Raw genomic sequence first — 19,494 nt, 5'->3', positions numbered from 1 at the left:
GGCACCAAGGAAATCACATGTGGTCACTGAAGGCAGAGGAAGCTTTTTGTCTTTAAATCAACTATATGCAACATGCTAGATGGGATTATGAGGCCCACTTTGAAATTCAGAGCATGAAACCTATATAAAACAGGCGAAATCAACATCATCTTTAACCACCATGTTGGCCTGGCCTTTTTTCCTTAATCAGCCAAAGAAGGGAGAGAAAAATCCACTTTTTTACCTCCAAACAAAACTTGAAGTCAGACGTGTCATCTGTCTTTTTTGTTGACCCTCTCATCAGTGTTTCTCAAGCTGGAATGGTATACCTGTCAGCGGGTGTTTGGGAATGGATGCAGGTGATATTTGGTGTCATCACGTTAGGGTGGGGAGGCTGCATGAACAGATATTACAGACGTGTGCTGGAGGGATGCTAAGATTCCTGTAATGTAAGGAATTGTCCCACCCAAAATATACCCATTGAGTAATTAGCTGATTGCCTGTTAAGAATAGGTGTCCAGCATTAGAATATCTTTAATCACTACTCTTTAAAATTGTCTGCCTGCTCCTTCCAAGCCTTTGTGGTGGTTTCAACTGTGAAGTAAAGGGTAACAATAATTAGCTATCATCTGTTTTAATAATGAGAATTTAACTTGTCCTCTTTGTTTGTTAAATATTCAAGGTACTTCACCTGCATTTTCTTATTAGCATGTACAAACTAAGCGAAAAAGAAAAGCTACGTGAGATTACAAAGCTCAGTCAAATTAATGACAAGTCTCTTTCTCTCTTTTAAAAATTAATCAGAATGATGTGTTAGTTTATTAACCAACCATTAGAAATAAACTAAAAAGAGCCTATCCATATCTGAGATTCTCAAAATGAAATGACAGCCTTTTAACAAATGTACACTCACTAATACAAATTTTATTATTCCAGTCTTGCACATATAAGGACTACCTATAATCATCATGGAAGAGATACCACCGTGAAGCAAAACTGTGTACAATCTGTATTTTTCCTATATTCTTTAGAATAATTAATACAAGTCATAATATGTGAATTTTTATACAAGGAAAGTTTTCAATCAGACACTTTGCAAAAAAAAAAAAAAAAAAAAAAAAGGGCTTACTTATGCCGGTGTGTATCCCACAAGACCAGAAAAGTCCAGGCAACTGATATGAAGGGTCACTGGGTTTAGACCTCAGGAAAGAAGAATCATGCAAAGGCCTGAACTGACGCACCACCAGAAAACTGCTGAGCCAAAGGAATAATGTGGCCTTAGTGGGGAAATGCCTGGGGACCCTAGGTTAAGCTGGAGTCCTGCTGACAAGCTAAGAGCTGTCTAAGAGAAGCAGCAGTCCCCTTTATTATTTTTCTTTCTCTTTTTCTTTTCCTTTTTTTTTTTTTTTTGAAGACAGGGTCTTGCTTTGTCACCCCCACCCAGGCTGGAGTGCAGTGGCATAATCATAGCTCACTTCAGCCTTGAAATCCCTGGGCTCAAGCAATCCTCCTTCCTTAGCCTTCCATGTAGCTGGGACTACAGGTGCAGGCCACCATGCTTGGCTAATTGGCTAATTTCTTCCTTTTTTTTTCTTGGTAGAGATGGGGTCTCGCTGTGTTGCCCAGGCTTGTCTTGAACTCTTGGGCTTAAGCAATCCTCCCTCCTTGGCCTCCCAAAGTGCTGGGATTACAGGCATGAGCCACTGCACCCGAACCCTATATTCTTGATACTCAGGGTAGTCCAATGAGTAGCATCGTGGGCTCCCTGAGGGCTTGCTAGAAATGTAGAATTTCAGGCTTTACTTTGGCATACTGCCTGAGAATATGCATTTTAACTAGATCCCAGGTGATTCTTATACACATTAAAGTTTGAGAAGTCATGCTTTAAAATATAGATTTTCTGCTATTGAAACGATTCCAAAGTTCCCTGACACCAATTTTAAAATTGTTTCACAAGTAACATCAATTAGTACAAAGATACTGAAACAGTTAATAATGGTTACTGATTTGATGCAAATAAGTACAATGCAAAGATTTTGTCCCCTTTCTCTTAAAAAAATGCCCACACCCAGATCCCATCTCATTCCTACCCCACCCCTCACTGGCCAATTTCATCAACATCCCTAAGGGAAGTGTCCAATCATTGAACCTCTTCCCAAATACTTTCAATGTGCAGTTGAGAACCACTGTTTTGGAAGGCAGCATTATAGCTAAAATATGTATAAAACCCCATCCACTGTTTTTTCCCAAAAGAAATCAAGAATGCATGGAATAATTGCTTTTAATATACTCATTTATTTTGTTTACTCAAGGATCACACATTAGAAATTTATTTTTAACCTACAACCACATGTCTTTCTCATTCCAATGCCCTTGCAGCTCTCCTTTCCTGAAAATGGAGACTAGGAGAAAACGGAGGAGGAGAGGTTCAGGGTGCAAGGCCAGCCACACACACAGGTAAATGAGGGCCTCTAAGCTGAAGGAACTGCAGAGCAGGGAGGGAGCCAGACTGATGCTGGACCCTCAGCAAATGCCCACGAACTGACTGAACGAATGTATCGCCTACCCAACAACCTACCTACTAGCACACATTAGTCTGGTTGGAGGATTGCATGATTGAAAAATGATACTATTTTAGCCACTAATCTGATAATTTGCATATTACAATCAGAAATGGGCATATCTGTAGTGTTGCAAATCATTAGAAAAGACTTTGCAGTAAATTAGACATGCCAGGCACTGGGCTAGATGCTATGAATAAGGTGGTGTGCAAAGCAAGCAGTCCCTGTCTTCATGGAACTTACACTTCATTGAGGAACACAGAAATTCAACCAAAAGTCACAGTAAACTGAGTAACCAATGAATTCATTGTACTTAGACACGTCTGAAAACATTAAGTAAATCTTGAATATCTGACTTAAAATGGACTGTTAAAATGCATTTGTCAGATAATGTGCCTACGAAATACACTGTCTCATTTTTTTTAACTTCCTTGAAACTTAATCATTTGTAGGGTTAAATGAGGCAGGATGCTTGACGTTTGTGCTACTTCGTTATCTGTGTTTTCAAACAGGCAGTGCACACCTCTACATCAGATTTTCAGTAGTGACTGCTGTCCTGGGTAACAAACAACCAGGGAGGTTGGTTTGTGCATATTGGGGGATCGAGGGAAGAAGTTAAAAGGGCAAAACATCTTCAGTTTTCTGAAAAGTTTATCTTTATAGCTAAACCCTAAGCTTTGAATATGGTTATATGGATGTTAAAGACACATACACATGCACACACACACACAGAGCAACTTTTTGAAAGGGTTTTTATTTTTTTTCTTTGTAAACCAAAGTATGAATACTATGTGGTAAATATATAGCAGAAGCCACACACTATTTTCTCTTTGGCAGGGTGGTGGGGGAAAAGCCAAGCTACACCGGATCTAGTAGATATGTATTTTTTACATCTAGGCACATGCAATCTGCAAACATTTAGGAGGCTGATTCAATTTTATCTATTCAAACATTTAAGAAAACAAAACTTTTTAACCGTCACCGTAATTTTTACACTATTCTGGGCATTCTTTTAAATGCATTTAAAAACTCAAACTGCTTTTCCTTGAGGACTTGCATACCTTCTTTTCTCCACCTTTAAACAAAAACAATAAAACTAATTCGTCATTTTTAACTGTAAACTACAAACATGTTACTAGATAGTTTGTTCTCATTCAAATGCATTTAGAAACCTCAGATAGTTGATTCACAACTTTAGTGGGAATCAAAAAACTACTGATTTATTTGGTACCAAGTTCCAATCCAAAAGAGCCGATATAAGTGAAAATGTTAAATCAGCGGCAAGTCAAATGGAGACTATTCTCTTAGCTAAGACTTTGAAAGAAGATCTCTAACACACATAAAAGGGGAAAGAATTACAGAGTGAACCCCTAGGCACGCATCAGCGCTTCAGCTATTACCAATGTATGGCAAATCTTTTTTCATCTGTAAGCAACCAGAAATTATTTTGAAACAAATTCCAGACACCAAAGCAGTTTTATCTGTAAATATTTCAGAATGTATCTCAAAATGATTAGGACTCCTTTGGGTAACAATTGTAGACACAATATCCAGTAAAATGCATCCCGATCTAGTGGTATATTCATATGAACACATTGTTCCTAATATTTTTTCTTTACTGAAGGAGATAGCCTTTTTAAAATGCAATACAAAATTGGGTTCAGAATAATAGCTAAATTATTTTGCACAAGTCAAAGGAACCGAATTTTCATGGTATTTAAGAAAACCGTACCCAGAAGTCTGATGACATTAACTTCTTCAAAGGTATATTTTCTGGCTAGACTTACTAACTCACACGTTTACTTTGAAAAGGGGTTCTGAATGTTTCACTATCATCCATACAGCATCAAGACTGCTAAAGGATGATGGGAGATCACTGAAAGCCCTGACTCCTCACCCACGGGGACCACCGAGAATTCCTAGGGAAAAGCTGAACAACTCTAACAAGAGCCCAGCAGGTCACTCTTTCCTACACAGCCATGCCACCGATTTCCACAGCTCCTGCCAAGCCAAGCTGTTCATGGTTCCTAGAACTCCTTCATTTCCTACTGCTCGTTCAACATTGGACACTCTCTTCACTATTATGGCAATGAAAATGCCATATCCCGAAGGTGTTAGAAAAGATAAACAGTGGAGAACTACTGCATCTTTGATCCCTTTTCTGATTGTTGCTCTTTTGTTTGACTAAGAATTTTAATGGTTTTATTAGGCCACTCTGCTATCTGGCTCCATGCCCATAGTAAGTGGACACTGTCTGTTGAATAAATGATTCTTAACTCATTCCATCGCAGGTGACGGTGCCACGCACAACGCTGGCACTCCATGCACAAGCACTAAATGGGGGTTATTAACAAAATGCTGGATGAGAAAATGGGTAAGCCATTCTTATTGCAACACACTCCAATGAAAGAAAGACGTTTAGTCACTTTCATATAGATTTGTTATCTGTGTTGCAAGCAAACCACTCAAAAGTTGTCTTTTTAGAAACAACAAAACTCTCAATGAGTAGATTATATTTAATGCAGATTTTCTGAAGTGTGGCTCATTGCATTTCTACTTTAAGTAGGTAATCACACTAGTTCTAGAAAATGCAAACTAGCGGATAATGAATACTTAACAAAAAGCCTATGATTAAAAGTAATGGAGTTCGAGACATTGGCACATGTCAAAAAACCATACAATCCAAGCAATGCCATGTTTTGATGCATCCCGTTTGGTTTAGTAATCACCTTTGAATCTGAAAACGAATGTAGTCCAAACCCAACTTTCTTTTCCCATAAAAAAAAATGCACAGTCAGCCCCCCACTTCCTCTGAGAAAGAGTTCACAGCACCAGACAAGAATATTTGAATGAATCCAACCAACTGCACTGCAATTTCCAAGAAAACACAAGAGCATAAACCACCAGAAAGCATAATATTACAAATTTACCCCTTCCTTCCTACTATCTCTCTGCAGTTCCTAGCCGTCGTGCAAAAAACCTCTTCATCTTTCCGAAGGTTGGTTATTTGCTAGACTGTAGTAACACTGTGCCATCACACTCACCTCGCTTCCTTCCTCCGCCCACATCCCTAGCAGGCACGTGGGGCTGTCCCTCTTCCTTCACCCCCACAGGACAGCGCCACAGCCGCAGAGCCCCCATCCCGAGCCCGCGCCTCTCTGGTCGCGCCGTGTCATTCTGCCCACCCATTGGGCGACCTGGGCACGAGCACCGCGACCTCCCGCTCCGCGCAGCCCTCCAGCACCGTGGCCCCAGCACACCTGCAGAGCAGCCAGGCGCAGGAACCGAAACCCGCCGGGTGGTGGGCGGGAAGGGAAAGGTAGATGCCCAAGTGAAGGCGCTCATCTTTTTTCCTACGTGAACAGAAGTTGATTCTTAACTTCAAGTGAGAAATGACAGGGAGAAAAAGTATGCAATCACTACCAGAAAAGGTGAGAGGCCAGTGTTGTTTCCCAGCGAAGGGACGGGGTGAGATTCAAACCCATCGTCCGGCCAGGGGAGTCCGCCCCCAGAGCACCGAGAAGCTGGGGTGCGTGGGCGGAGAGAGAGCAGGGTGCGCCCGACAGCCCTGCGCCAGGTTGTCCCCAAACTCAACACTTCCTCTCTCCCTTCTGGAGTCACTTTCCCTTCCGGAATATGCAAGCTCTGGGTGGCCCAGCCCTGCCGCCAGACTCAGTTTCCAAGTGCGGGGGAAGGAGATGGGCGCTCTCAGCCGCGATCCCCTGGGAAGGTGGCCACTCACCTGCGCTCTGAAATAGAAGAACAGGGCGACGCTGCAGACAACCTGGCCCAGCCCCAGCCCCAGGAGGGCCACGAACATGGAGCGGGAGGCGGCAGGGGGCTGGTGCGGCGCAGGCGGCGGCGGGGCGTGCAGGGGGCCCTCGTGCGGGGCTCCGGGGCCGCCGCCCATCTCCTCCGAGCCACGCAGGTACTTGGTGTAGTCTCTGCTGGCGCGGCGCATGGCGCTCGGCCCTCTCGCTTCGGAGCTCTCCTCCCTCTCCCGCTCCCTCCCCTTCTTGTCTGCGGCCAACTCCGGAGGCTGCGGCGGAGCCTCGACGTGGGGCGCCGACTTGGAGCCCGGCTTTGGGTCCTGGGGCGCGCGGGCGAGCGGGCAGGGCGCCCGGCAGCCCCAACTCTTATAAACCGCTTGGAGAGCCCTGGCCTCGGGAGCCAATCAGCCCCAGGCGAGGCTGCCTCTTCCACTCCCACCTCTGGCTCCCCTTCCTTCCTTTCGCCCTCCCTCTCTCTCAATCTCTGTCACTGAAGGGCCTCCTTCATGGGGGCCCTCCAAGGAGGAGGCTGGGGGCTACTCCAGTGGTTCCAGACTCCCCTTGCCATCCTCAGCTGTCTTTCTGGAGGTCCAAGAGATGGGTTAAAGAAGACGCAGAGGACACCTTTGCTAAAGGATAAGGATTGCACCTCAGACATTCCTCCTGCATCCATTCTAGTTTGGTAGAGAAGGGACTTCACATCCTGGAGTCTCGGTTTCCTCCTTAGGATTTAGAAAGTTAAATTTGATGATCTCTGAAGACCCTTCCTGTCCAACCTCTCCCCCCAAAGTGCTTCCAAATATAGTTTCTCAAAGTATTTTGGAAGACTTCGAAAATTTCACAATCCCCTTCCCAAATCCCTATTTCTGCATCTTGAAGGTGACATTGAGCGAGGCAGGTCTTGAATGTGGCAGTAGAGAGCCTATAGACACCAACTCTGACTTTATAAAGATGAAAACAGTGCAGAGAAAAGGGTAAAGGGGCGTGTAGCCAGAAGCAAGCATCCGAGGAGGGCTCACCCAACAGTCAGGAAAGAGATGTAACACGAAGCTGATGATACAGTTAAATGTTAGTTTCATTGCTAAAGAAACCTTGCTAGGGCTTTTTAAAAACCTCTATTCAGAACTGTGGCTCTTAGTGAGAAAACAAAAATATTAACATTGCTCACAAATTCTGATACTTCTTCAGAAGGAAGTTGCTGACCAATTTAAACACCCATGAAACTTAGGATGTTTCCACTTTTTTATTAATACAGTTAGCCCACAGTATCCATGGGTTCCACATCTGTGGATGCAATGAACCACAGATCAAAAATATTTGAAAAAAAAAAAAAGGATGGCTGTGTCTGGACTAACATCTGTAGACTTTTTTTCTTGTGATCATTTCCTAAATGATACACAACTAGTTACATAGCATTTACATTCTATTAAGTATTATAAATAATCTAAAGATAATTTCAAGTGTACAAGAGGATGTGTGTAGGTTAAATGCAAATACTATGCCATGATATGTTAAGAAACTTGAACATCCATGGATTTTGGTATTTGCGGGGAGGGGTTTGGTGGTGTCCTGGAACCAGTCTTCCATGGATATCAGGGGACTACTGTGCCTTTTTATTTTGCATCCTCTTTCTGCCTAATTCGCTAATGAGTATTTCTCTAGGCAAGATTTGTGACAAATGACAGGTCTCTGAGTTATTAAAGCATGTGTTCTAAATTGAACACTTAGACCTCAGTAAATGTTGAGGAAGAGTGACCAGGTTGAATTTTTTTTAAAGGCAGCCATACAAAGAAAATGATCTGTTCAAATTCAAAAATGCCTTTAGCATTTATATGTGTATCAATATATAGGTTGGTGGAGAAGGGACAAAAAATTTTCAGACTCAAACATAGAAACAATTGACGTTAATTCTACTCCTTGTAGTCTTTGACCTCTTCCCACTTTTTGTTTGTTAACTTTGGGAAGTAGGTTTATTGTCTCCTCCTCCCCCTCCTCCTCCTCCTCTTCTTCCTCATTCTCTCCCTGCTCCTTGACTCAGGAAATAATTCCATATTTCTTCTTTCTTATAAATATTGATTGGGATCAAAGATTTTTAAAATGTGTTATAACAACTAAACCCACAATGATTTTACTATAGTGTCTTCCATTCTTTTTAATGGGTTTTTATACAACAATGTTTTATACATGTTTTTAATTCCTTGACATCTTGATCCTCAGGTTACAAGAAAGTCCCTCAAATCCCTGAATTATGTTCAGGTATACTTGACCCAGGAGCTTCATATATGGGACCGTATGTTACATTCCTACAGAGTTCTTCATATGACATTTCTACTAGTACTCCAAAAATGTCATCCCACTATCTTCTGGCTTCCATAGGCTGTATTAGATACTCCACTGTCAGTCTACCTGCTGCTGTTTCACAGGTAATGTATCTTTCTTGCCTATGTATTTACTTATTCCTTTGTCAACATTCACTCCCCAACTAATAGATAAACTCCATATGTTCAACGACTCTTGCTGTATTATTCACCTCTGTAACATTCACCATTTCCTAAAAATGTTGCCTGCTATAGTAGGTGCATGGTAAATACTTGCTGAATAAAATTTGAGCAAAGAAATCTTCAAAGCCTCTGCCAGTCTCCCAGTCTAAGCCATGCTATATCTTATCAGAATGAATCACACTTGCCCCCTGAAGAATTCTGTGCACACTGATCAGGATTTTCTTCTAAAAGCAAAAGTATATGTCATTTCCATACCTGCAATTCTTTGGTGGCTTCTAAGTGTTGTTGATAAAGTCGAAACTCTGAAGATTAAAAACCTTCAATAGGCCAGGCGCAGTGGTTCACTTCTATAATCCCAGCACTTTGGGTGGCCGAGGCGTGAGGATCACTGGAGCCCAGGAGATGGAGAATAGCCTGGGGAACATAGGGAGACCCTATCTTTACAAAAAATGAACAAATTAGCCAGGCATTTTGGTGCACATCTCTGGTCCCAGTTACTCAGAAGGCTGAGATAGGTGGATTGTTTGAGCCCAGGAGGTCGAAGCTGCAGTAAGCTACAATCATGCCACTGCACTCCAGCCTGGGAGACAAAGCAAGATTCTGTCTCAAAAATTAAAAAAAAGATAAAAATAAAAATAAAACTCTCCAATAGTCCTTCACAAGCTGGCTCAAGACTCCTTTTCTACATCAGCTTCAAATACTACCTAACTGGAGCGCTCATCTCTCCAACTTCTACACCTGGAGGACTCTCCCACTTGTCTTTCCTTTCTCAGCTCAAATGTCGCCTCTCCAGAAGTCTTTCTCAGCTCTCCTCACCCAGGTGGCTCCCTCTGTTTTATGCTCCCATGGCATCCTTAAATTCTCCTGTCATGTCACTCATGCATTTCTTCATTTACTCTACAGATATATTAGTGAGAACCCACTATATGCCAGCACTGGGCTAGAAACATGGTGATCAAGATGGAACATGGGGCTTACACCCTAGTGGGAAAAAAAAAAAGATTCAACAAATCATCACACAAATCACTAACAAAACCGTGATTAGTACTTTGAAGGCAAAGTGCAAGTACAATGAGAATCTTATAATACTAGGGTCTAGACCTATGTGGGGAGTCAGAGAAAACTCTTAGTACAATGCAAATGTGGGGAGTCAGCGAAAGCTCTTAGGCAAAGATAATGCTTTAAACTACTACTAGATAATGATTTAAACTACTCCCAGAGTAAAAACCACCCAGAGAGAAAGTGGCCAGGAGCTATCCTAAGCTGAGAGTGATTGTATTATTATAACAATTTGTTTAACATGTCTTCCTAATTGCATGTCTTATTTATCTGCCTTATTTATCATAAATTCATTAATATATTTATTTTAACAATATATCAACTAATCAATTAAGTCATTATCAAAATTATAAAATAGTTGAGTGAAAGCCTTGTAAGCTAATAGGTATTAAGAGATGCCAAGACACCAGAACATATTTGAAGATTCAAAGTTTATGTCAATACTCCACTGTAAATAACACAATGTTTGGATCAACATTTCTCAAACTATATTTCCTAGTACCTTAGTGTATTAACATAGAATTATTTTGGACTCATGTGAAAATTGATTGGTTCATGTTATTGAAAAATAGGGCTAAGTCTAGCTTCAGGAATGGTTGGATACAAGTCTGAATTTAATACCTTTCCTTTGAGCCAGGGAATTAAGTTAACCCCATGTGAACCTCATGTCATGGGCTGAGAGGAGGGAGAGATATTTGTCAAAGGAAAATTAAAGTGCAGATATGAGAAGGATAAGGAATTGCTGCACTGCTGGGCAGGTACAAATACTATAGCTGTTCATGTTCAGTCATTTGCTAGATCAGCAATTTTCAAACCTTTTACATTCTTCAAAATTTTGAGAACACCAAAGAGGTTTTATTTGTGTGAGTTATATTTATAAATATTTGGTGTATTCAAACTCCAAGCAGAAAATTTTACCATATTAGCATGTTAACATAATGTTAATATAATTTTATAAATAATTCATAATACTTTTATAAAATTATTTTATTTAAAAAAACAGATTTTCAAAAAAAAGTAGGGAGAAAAGTGCCACTGTTTTACATTTTTTCACATCTCTACAATTGGCCTGATAGAGTCACATTCAGTCCTGCACTTACTCTGTTACAATATTGCACATGATGCAGCCTTTAGAAAACTTCACTATATGAATGAAAATGAAAAAGGAAGTCATTCGTTATTATTATGACAGACGTTTCACTTTGCTGAACTCCGGAGAGGATCCATCTTCTAGAAGTCACCTAAATTCCTTGGTTCCTTCATCTCCAAACCTCATCACTCCAGTCTCTGACCTCTGATTCTGTCCTCACAGCTTCTCTCTGACTCTAACTCTAATCTCTCTCTCTCTTTCTCTTTTCTTTTCTTTTCTTTTCTTTTTTTTTTTTTTGAGACAGAGTGTTGCTCTGTAGCCCAGGCTGGAGTGCAGTGGCGCAATCTCGGCTCACTGCAAGCTCCTCCTCCTGGGTTCACGCCATTCTCCTGCCTCAGCCTCCCAAGTAGCTGGGACTACAGGTGACCGCCACCATGCCCGGCTAATTTTTTGTATTTTTAGTAGAGATGGGGTTTCACCGTGTTAGCCAGGATGGTCTCGATCTCCCGACCTCATGATCCACCCACCTCGGCCTCACAAAGTGCTGGGATTACAGGCGTGAGCCACCGTGCCCAGCTAATATCTCCCTCTTATGATAAGAACCCTTGTGATTACATTGGGCCCACCCAGACTATCCAGGATCATCTCTGCATCTCCAGATCCTTAACTTGATTACATATGCAAAGTAAGTTTTGCCATGTGAGGTAACATAGTCACGGAGTCTGGGGCTTAGGATATGGATTCCTTCGTGGCGGAGGGCGTTAACCTACTGCAGTGTGGGAAAGCGAACCCACTTTTGCTGGCCCCTGGGTTCCTTACCATCCCTTCTTAGTTTGCTTAACCCTGACCTCAACTCTTCAAATTAAAGTCTTTTCAGTTAAACCCCTTGGATTTGCCACCTATTTCCTGCCAGGACCCTGTATAAGATACTTGCTAAATCTGAAGCCAGTTGCAACTAATTTATAAGTGTGGCTATTATAAAATATATATGCAGCCCCTCATGCTAATAACAATTTTTAAAATGTGTATAATCATAGGTAATAAGTCTGTGAAAATATCTCACCCTGGAAATGGGGTCAGCCTGAGCAACTTTATGAAACTGGTGGGCTTTGTCTTTTGTACTTGCCACCTCTCCTTTGATCACTCTTCTTCTTTTTCTGTCTGTTCCCGCGTCTTCTGATCTCCGGTCCAGGCTCATATGCTGCTCACTGAAAACCTAATGAAACTTCTCACCTAGGACCGGCCTCCCTAATAATCTAATCCAGCTTACCCATTACCCTTTACAAGCAACTTGGTCTTATTACATTCCCTTCAGCTAACAAATTAACTAGTATGTGATGACAAATTAACATTCACTGTGTCAATGGACAATTGAATTAAAATTTTATGTTGGCAGTCTTCTGGAAATATACTGCCTTACCCCCTTAACTTAAATCACACAATTAATAAATTTAGAAAGGTGAGTTTTATTTCTTAAGAATGGAATTACAACCTGCAGGCAGGAAGGGCAGCCTGCCACTGGAAAAAACCTAAAGCAAGCCCTTCAACAGAGGGAAGAGTAACACAGGAATTTAAGCTGAAGGGGTTGGCAAAGCATACATATTCAACAGGACATAGGAAGAGCTATGAATATTCATGAAAGGGTGTAAGCATGCATGATAAGCAAACATGCATGTTACGTGCGTCCCACAGTTCCATTGGGATGGAGATTTAACATTTAAATGTACACAATTAGGTGAAGAAGGGACAGGAAGTCACTCAAATGTGCATCTGCTGTAAAACCAGCCAGAAGTAGTCCATGGTTGGTGGTCTCTTATCAGGAGAAAGTTACAGAAATCACTCTCTTGTCCAATCAAAGCTGTCACTGTGGCTTGTGTAACAGGTGGGGGCTCAGTTATTTGGTGTCTGATAGCTGGGGAGCTGCAACTGCTTCAACATCACTTATCTCAAAGCTAGTGTTGTTTAGCTGCTGGAGAAAGAGGGAGAAGAAACCCTGTGGGAATTAGAACATCGTTTATTTGTTAAGTGTAAAGTGTGTGACTTAACCCTTGCCTGGCATGGCCATAGCTCTTGTTTACAATTTGGTATCTTATTGCCATAAACAGTCTATTCTGTCAGTCTTATGATCTCTGTTTTAACATTAATGCTGTCAGCTGTTGTGTCTAAACAGCAAAAAGAAAGGGATATAATGAGGCATCTGACCTACCATCCCATCATGGTTGGGAACTCAGGTGGGTTTTTTTAATTATTATTATTTTAAGGTTTCTCTGAGGTCCTCCTGGCCAAACAGGGCCTATTTGGTTGGTTTGGTTTAGCTCTCACCCCTAAAGGAGTGCATTTCTAATGGCAAATTATCAGACATTACGGAAAACTGGATGGGAGGTGGAAGAGGAAAAACATCTTGGTCATGTATGAAGGAAGTAAACCTGTCCATAACTGTTTATCTCTTCTGTGCACAATGCTAGAAATATTTAGAGTAATTTTATCTCTTACTTTCTAGAAAGCAACTCTGTTTGACAGGTTTTTAATTCATTAATATTATCTCAGACTTATTCCTAAAATAAAATTAATCTAAAGTATTAGAGCTTTTAAATAAACTTTTGGGAAATACAAAAATTAATTAGGGAGATTGTAGCTGTTTCTGAAAACATAATTAAATAATATCAAAGGGTCTTATTGTATTCATTTCCTAAATGTTTCCTGAATCTGTCTCCACTTCAGTTTTCCTCAGAAAATAATTTTTTATTGTTTCTTCTTTGAAACTCTTATTTTTGCCATATTAGGTCTTCTATAATACATTGTTTAACTTGCAGTTTCATTTTATTTATTTATTTATTTATTTATTTATTTTTTGAGACAGAGTCCTTCTCTGTCACCAAGGCTAGAGTGTAGTGGTGCAATCTCAGCTCACTGCAACCTCTGCCCCCCGGTTCAAGCAATTCCCCTGCCTCAGCCACCTGAGTAGCTGGGATTACAGGCATGTACCACCATGCCTGGCTAATTTTTGTATTTTTACTAGAGATGGAGTTTTCCTATGTTGCCCAGACTGGTCTTGAACTCCTTACCTCAAGTATCTGCTTACCTCGGCCTCCCAAAGAGCTGAGATTCCAGGCATGAGCCACCACGCCTGGCCTTTATTTATGCTTCATCCTGAATATGTTCCTTCATTTGATCTAGATCTGTGTTCAATATTTCAGCAGTTTCTGTTCTATTATTCAGGTGATCTGTTGGATTTTAAAGTCCAAAATTAAATTTTATTTCAAGAAATCCTTTTTTCCCTTCAATTGATCTTTCACAATAGCTTCTTGTACCTCCTCAATAATTCTTCTTACAATCATTTATAAATTCACCTCTGTTTCTTTACCAAACTTTCTCTGTAAACAAGCTGCTGAGTTTATTTGATTCAAGTCCCTCTTTCAAGCTCCTGAGACCCTTTGGGTGATACCTGACCCTTCTTTTCCTACCAATGTCCATTGGTGTCAGTCCCCATTGCTTCTGGATATGTCAGATTATTAGAAGGGTCTTAGGCAATGGTAGACATCCATGAAGTGAGGGGTAGGGAAGATGCTTCCTCACCAGGATGGCAGCATAAGAAGGACTGGGGATCTCTCATGGCTGGAAATTTCAAGTAGATTCCATATGTCTGTCAGGATGCATGGGATTACCTGGCCAAGTGATTATAGTCTCCCAAGAAGCTATGGGATTAATTCTGTTTTCAGACTTCCCCAAATCTACTAATACTTAGGTCTGCTCATTGCTGTAAATAATTTTGTCCAGAAGTTGGCCCGTGCTCTTCTATTCCTATACTGTCTCCTTAGGTCCTAAAGCCTCAGGTAGACTTCCCATCCCCACATACTCTCTGTGTTATTGAGATGGGAGTGGGAGGGTGTCAAGAAATAAGCCTGTGCTGCCATATTCCCAGAGTGCTTTTTCCTTCCTTCTTGTCTGTAAATGAGCCTCTCATCATTTCCTGCCTAAGTACTAAAATGGCTTCCCTTTCATCCTCCTTCCAGCAGTCTCCTCTCACTTAAACCCATCTTCCAGATTGATCCATTTATCACGAACAACTGGATGTATAACTTCCCCTCTTGAAACCACTCAGCAGCCTACCAACACTTAAGATAAAGTCCAGGCTCTTTACAAACTCTTAATTTTTTCCCATCTCTGTCTTTAGCCTCAACATCCATCACTGCCTTGCACTTAAAGTTCTAGTTTTAGAACATAAGAATAACTTGTAATTTTCTTGTACATCATACTATTTATTTCAAACCTCTATTCCCTTGTTCATGCTCATAATTTAGTCATTCAACAAACATGTACTGCATACCAACCATGAGTCTGGTACTATGGTAGGCATAAGAGATATAATGCTGAATAAAATAGATAATTGTTGTCCCCACAAAGCTTACACTCTAAGGCAAATGTTGTAGTAACATTGAAAAAATAGAACCTAAAAGATGCAAAGAGAAAAAGCATATTATTTCCTCCCAGCAATGAGAGTTTAAAACCATTCAGTAAACTGCTTTATTTATTACATGGAAGATCTCAGTAGACCATGGCATTACCATAACCATAACAACTAGACAAAGCCACCAGATAAACTAAAGAAAAAAATATATATATATATATATATTTTAAAAGTTATCGATGAGCTGATAATGAAAAAAATCTAAAGGGATGGAATTCCACATGAACATTCTTTTCTAGATAAGAAAGATTAACAGTCCCTTTCCTCCCTTGGAACATTTGTCAAGCATAAACACAGATAGGTGTAGTGTTGAGTTTGCTGTAGGCAGAGATATTTTACTGGAGCTGATGTAACAGATTAAAATCTACAAATGCCCAACTATTTTCTCCAATTACTGGTCTTCTTCCCCCACAGATTTTGTTGAGTACTGGCAAAGTGGCTGGTGAACTGGGCTGGGAAGGTAGAGAGAGATCTTCTAGTGTATGAGAGAAACTTGTCAGAGAAAGAGAACAAAATAAGAACACAAAAAATATTTCCTTCAAGATATTTGAAACAAGAGTTGCACTGAAACTACTTAAAGCTGCAATCCAGCTCAGTTTCTGATTGAAGTCCTCACCTTAGCTGCAAAATAATATCTACATTAGTTCTTTTATATACAATGCTTGGTATACAATTTTCAAAATCACATGACATGACAAGAAGCTGAAATGCATGGTTCATAATGAAGAGGGAAAAAATATCCAATTAAAAACAGACCAACAGATGACCCAAATATTGGAAATAGTAGACAAGAATTTTTTTTTTTTTTTGAAATGGAGTTTCATTCTTGTTGCCCAGGCTGAAGTGCAATGGTGCGATCTCGGCTCACCGCAACCTTCACCTTCTGGATTCAAGCAATTCTCCTGCCTCAGCCTACCAAGTAGGTGGGATTGCAGTCATGTGCCACCACGCCCGGCTAATTTTGTGTTTTTAGTAGAGACGAGGTTTCTCCGTATTGGTCAGGCTGGTCTCGAACTCCTGACCTCAGGTGGTCCACCTGCCTTGGCCTCCCAAAGTGCTGGGATTACAGGTGTGAGCCACCGTGCCCAGCCTACAATAATTTTTAAATAATTCTTTTACATATAGTAAAGAAAACAGAGGCAAAGGTAAACAAAATGGATGAAGAGATAGAGAACTGCAACAAAGAAGTGGAATGTTTTTAAAAATAAGCATGTGGATATTCTAGAACAAAAAAATAAAATATCTAAAATTAATAATTAACTAGATTAACTTAATAACAGACTGGATAATAAAAAAAATAGTGAATTCAAAGCCAATTCAATAGAAAATGTCTAAAATAGAGGAACAATATTTAGAAAATTAAACAGAAGAGAACATGAGAAATACATGGGACATTATCAAAAGGTCTAATATATGTGTAATTGGAGTTCCAGAAGGACAGGGAAAAAATGCAACAGAAGGAACATAGAAGTATATTATGGTGAGAACTTTCCAAACTGATTAAAGACATTAACTCATTGACTCAAAATGTCAGAAAATCACAAAGTGGGTATGTACAAAGAAATCTACACCTAGCCAAACCATAATCAAACTGCTGAAACCCAAAGACAAAGAAAAAAACCTTAAAACCAACAAGTAGTCCATATATTTTCCCTCAGGCTGGAAATCTCAGGTAGGTTTCAAAATTTCTTTCTTCCTTTTTTTTTTTTTTTTGAGACGGAGTTTTTGCTCTGTTGCCCAGGCTGGAGTGCAATGGTGCAATCTCAGCTCACTGCAACCTCCGCCTCCTGGGTTCAAGTGATTCTTCTTCTTCAGTCCCCCGAGTAGCTGGGATGACAAGTGTCCGCCACCACACCCAGCTAATTTTTGTAATTTTGGTAGAGACAAGGTTTTACCATGTTGGCAAGGCTGGTCTTGAACTCTTGACCTCAAGTAATCCACCCGCCTTGGCCTCCTAAAGCGCTGGGATTACAGGTGTGAGCCACCCCGTCCAGCCTAACTTCTTTGTTCTTACTTAAATGATAAAAAGTCCTCTGGTCACTTTTAGTCCTGAGAACACACTCATTTCAAAAATTAAAAGAGGAGGCCCAAGTTAATAACAAAAGCTTTGATTCAATTTCAAGTTAAATCTTCTTCCCTCCTTCAATTCAGAACTTTCAGTCTGAAAACTTTACCATGGGAAGGGGAGCCTGCTGTGGGTGGGATGGAACTGGAGGGGACTTATTTGACTAGTAAAGTTATAACCTGGGTTGGTGCTCTCTGAGCTTGGTAAAATGTTCAGAGTGAACTCTTTCATTCATGGTACTCTTTTGTATTTTCTTAAAGATTTTCCCACTGGAAACATCTGACTGAAACTCCCTCTCCCTAGCTGACTGTTTACAGTTCTCCCCTCAATTTCTGCAACTAATAGTACCTCTCATTCTTTTCTTCTGGCTACAGCTTGCCTCTGGCTGGAAACCTTCTTGGATGGAGTCCCTTTAATAATGATCCTCAGACTGTCCTCTTCCTGGTTCCCCACGTCACATCCCTGGTACACATTCTGCCTTGTTGTCAGTGAAAACAAACTGTGTTTTCACTGCGTGCAGCTTGGTCTTAGCTATGCCACCAGAGAGGCAGCTTCGGCCACACCATTTGCTTTCAGTCTTCTTAGATGTGAGACAAATCCCAGGCTCTTTGTTACCTGAAACGTCACAACAAATATCAACCTCGCCCACTGCTTATCTCAAAGCTCCTCTCACAGATTCTCTAAACAAACTATGGCTTGATTACTTCAACCTCAATTATGTATATCCTTAACTTGGTTTCCAGATTCCTTCTCTACAAGTATCTTTCTTTGAAATATGGGAGTTTTTGCAACCTAGGATTTAGTTTCCACTTTAACATGCTGATACACAAGCAAATGCAGTCACCATAAAATGTAATTAGTAAAATGTGTCCTGGGAGCACATGAGAGTTCTTAACCTAGACTTGGGAGTCCAGAAAAGACTTTTTGGAGGAAGCCATATTTAAGATGAGGCTTGTGGGATGAGTCAGTTATCCAAGCAAAGTGGGAAGACACACATATAACAGCCAAGAAGCAAAACAGGATGTATTCAAGGAACTGAAAGAAGTTTAGTGTAGCTTGATCAGAGGGGAAGGAAGAATAGTGAAAAATGAGACTAGAAAACGAGCAGGGATTGAGTCACAAAGCTTTTGTCACTCACAATAAAAATTTGAATTTTATTCGGAAGCAATGGAGAGTCATTGAAAGTTTTTTTCTCAGCAAAATGACAGGTCTGTTGTGTAATTTAGAATGTGCTTTGACTGCAATGTGGAGAATAGGTTTCAGGGAGGGTGGTAGAAAGAGGTGGGCAGAGCAAGTCTGGACTCAAGAGAGCCAGTCACTAGACCACGGGCCACATCCAGGCCAGGACTGAGCATGGTGGTGGCAGAAGGGGTGGAGAGAAGCAATGGGTCTCAGAGGCACTTAGGAGTGGAGTCTGTTGGGTTTGGTGACTAACCAGCCATGACATGGTGAAGAAGAGGAAGGAGTCAAAGATGCCACACAGGTTTCTCTCTTTGGCAACTGAATTGGTGCCACTTGCTGATATGAAACACTCTGGAGGAAGAGCAGGTTGGCCAAGCTCACTTCACATTCATAGGTCTGAGATGCTGGGGAAGCCTTTCCTGCTTCTGTTTGTTTCATTGACAACCTTCTTCAACCTTCAAACCTCAGCCCAGAGGATATCGCCTTCTTGCTGTTCCCAAATTCCCAGAATTTTCTAAGAGCCCTTCCTCTCTTGCTCCTCACTCACCTTTATTTTTTATTTGTTTTATTTCACTTTTTTGAGGCATTACCCAGGCTGGAATGCAGTGGTGCAATCTTGGCTCACTTCAACATCCACCTCCCAGGCTCAAGCAATTCTTGTGCCTCAGCCTCCCGAGTAGCTGAGACTACAGGTGTGTGTGACCATGCCCGGCTAATTTTTGTATTTTTAGTAGAGATAGAGTTTCAGCATGTTGGCCACGCTGGTCTTGAACTCCTGGTCTCAAGCAATCTGCCCAACTTCGCCTCCCAAATTGCTGG

The 19,494-nt window shown here is 41.0% G+C and overlaps 1 protein-coding gene across 6 annotated transcripts in view, besides 2 other annotated features; it reads right to left on the bottom strand.

The window, feature by feature from the left end:
* The window catches only part of TNFSF11 (TNF superfamily member 11), a 45,278-nt gene extending 27,209 nt beyond the window's left edge, over positions 1-18,069 (bottom strand). The window contains exons 1-3 of one of the 6 annotated variants that reach the window (NM_033012.4): positions 17,842-18,069; positions 14,043-14,184; positions 9,067-9,225 (exon numbers count right to left, since the gene is read on the bottom strand). Coding sequence is in view for 2 of the 6 variants with exons in the window: in NM_003701.4 (NP_003692.1) it covers positions 6,283-6,501 (219 nt within the window). In the remaining 4 variants the exon portion in view is untranslated. Of the gene's footprint in view, positions 1-223; positions 1,099-5,800; positions 6,654-9,066; positions 10,252-14,042; positions 14,185-17,841 lie in introns of those variants that run through there. The other 5 variants (XM_047430707.1, NM_003701.4, XM_011535280.3 and 2 more) reach the window with 5 other exon arrangements.
* Positions 6,056-6,255: an enhancer, noted in NCBI's record as "active region_7653". NCBI's record gives its function as "activates an Ori minimal core promoter by ATAC-STARR-seq in GM12878 lymphoblastoid cells {active_cell/tissue: GM12878}" and the evidence as "EXISTENCE:reporter gene assay evidence [ECO:0000049][PMID:35858748]".
* Positions 6,346-6,715: a silencer, noted in NCBI's record as "silent region_5301". NCBI's record gives its function as "represses an Ori minimal core promoter by ATAC-STARR-seq in GM12878 lymphoblastoid cells {active_cell/tissue: GM12878}" and the evidence as "EXISTENCE:reporter gene assay evidence [ECO:0000049][PMID:35858748]".

This window comes from Homo sapiens, chromosome 13 (genome assembly GCF_000001405.40).
Source record: "Homo sapiens chromosome 13, GRCh38.p14 Primary Assembly".
In the NCBI taxonomy this organism is placed as follows: domain Eukaryota; kingdom Metazoa; phylum Chordata; class Mammalia; order Primates; family Hominidae; genus Homo; species Homo sapiens.
Note: the sequence above shows the minus strand (reverse complement) of the source record. Positions and strands in the feature narration are given on the sequence as shown.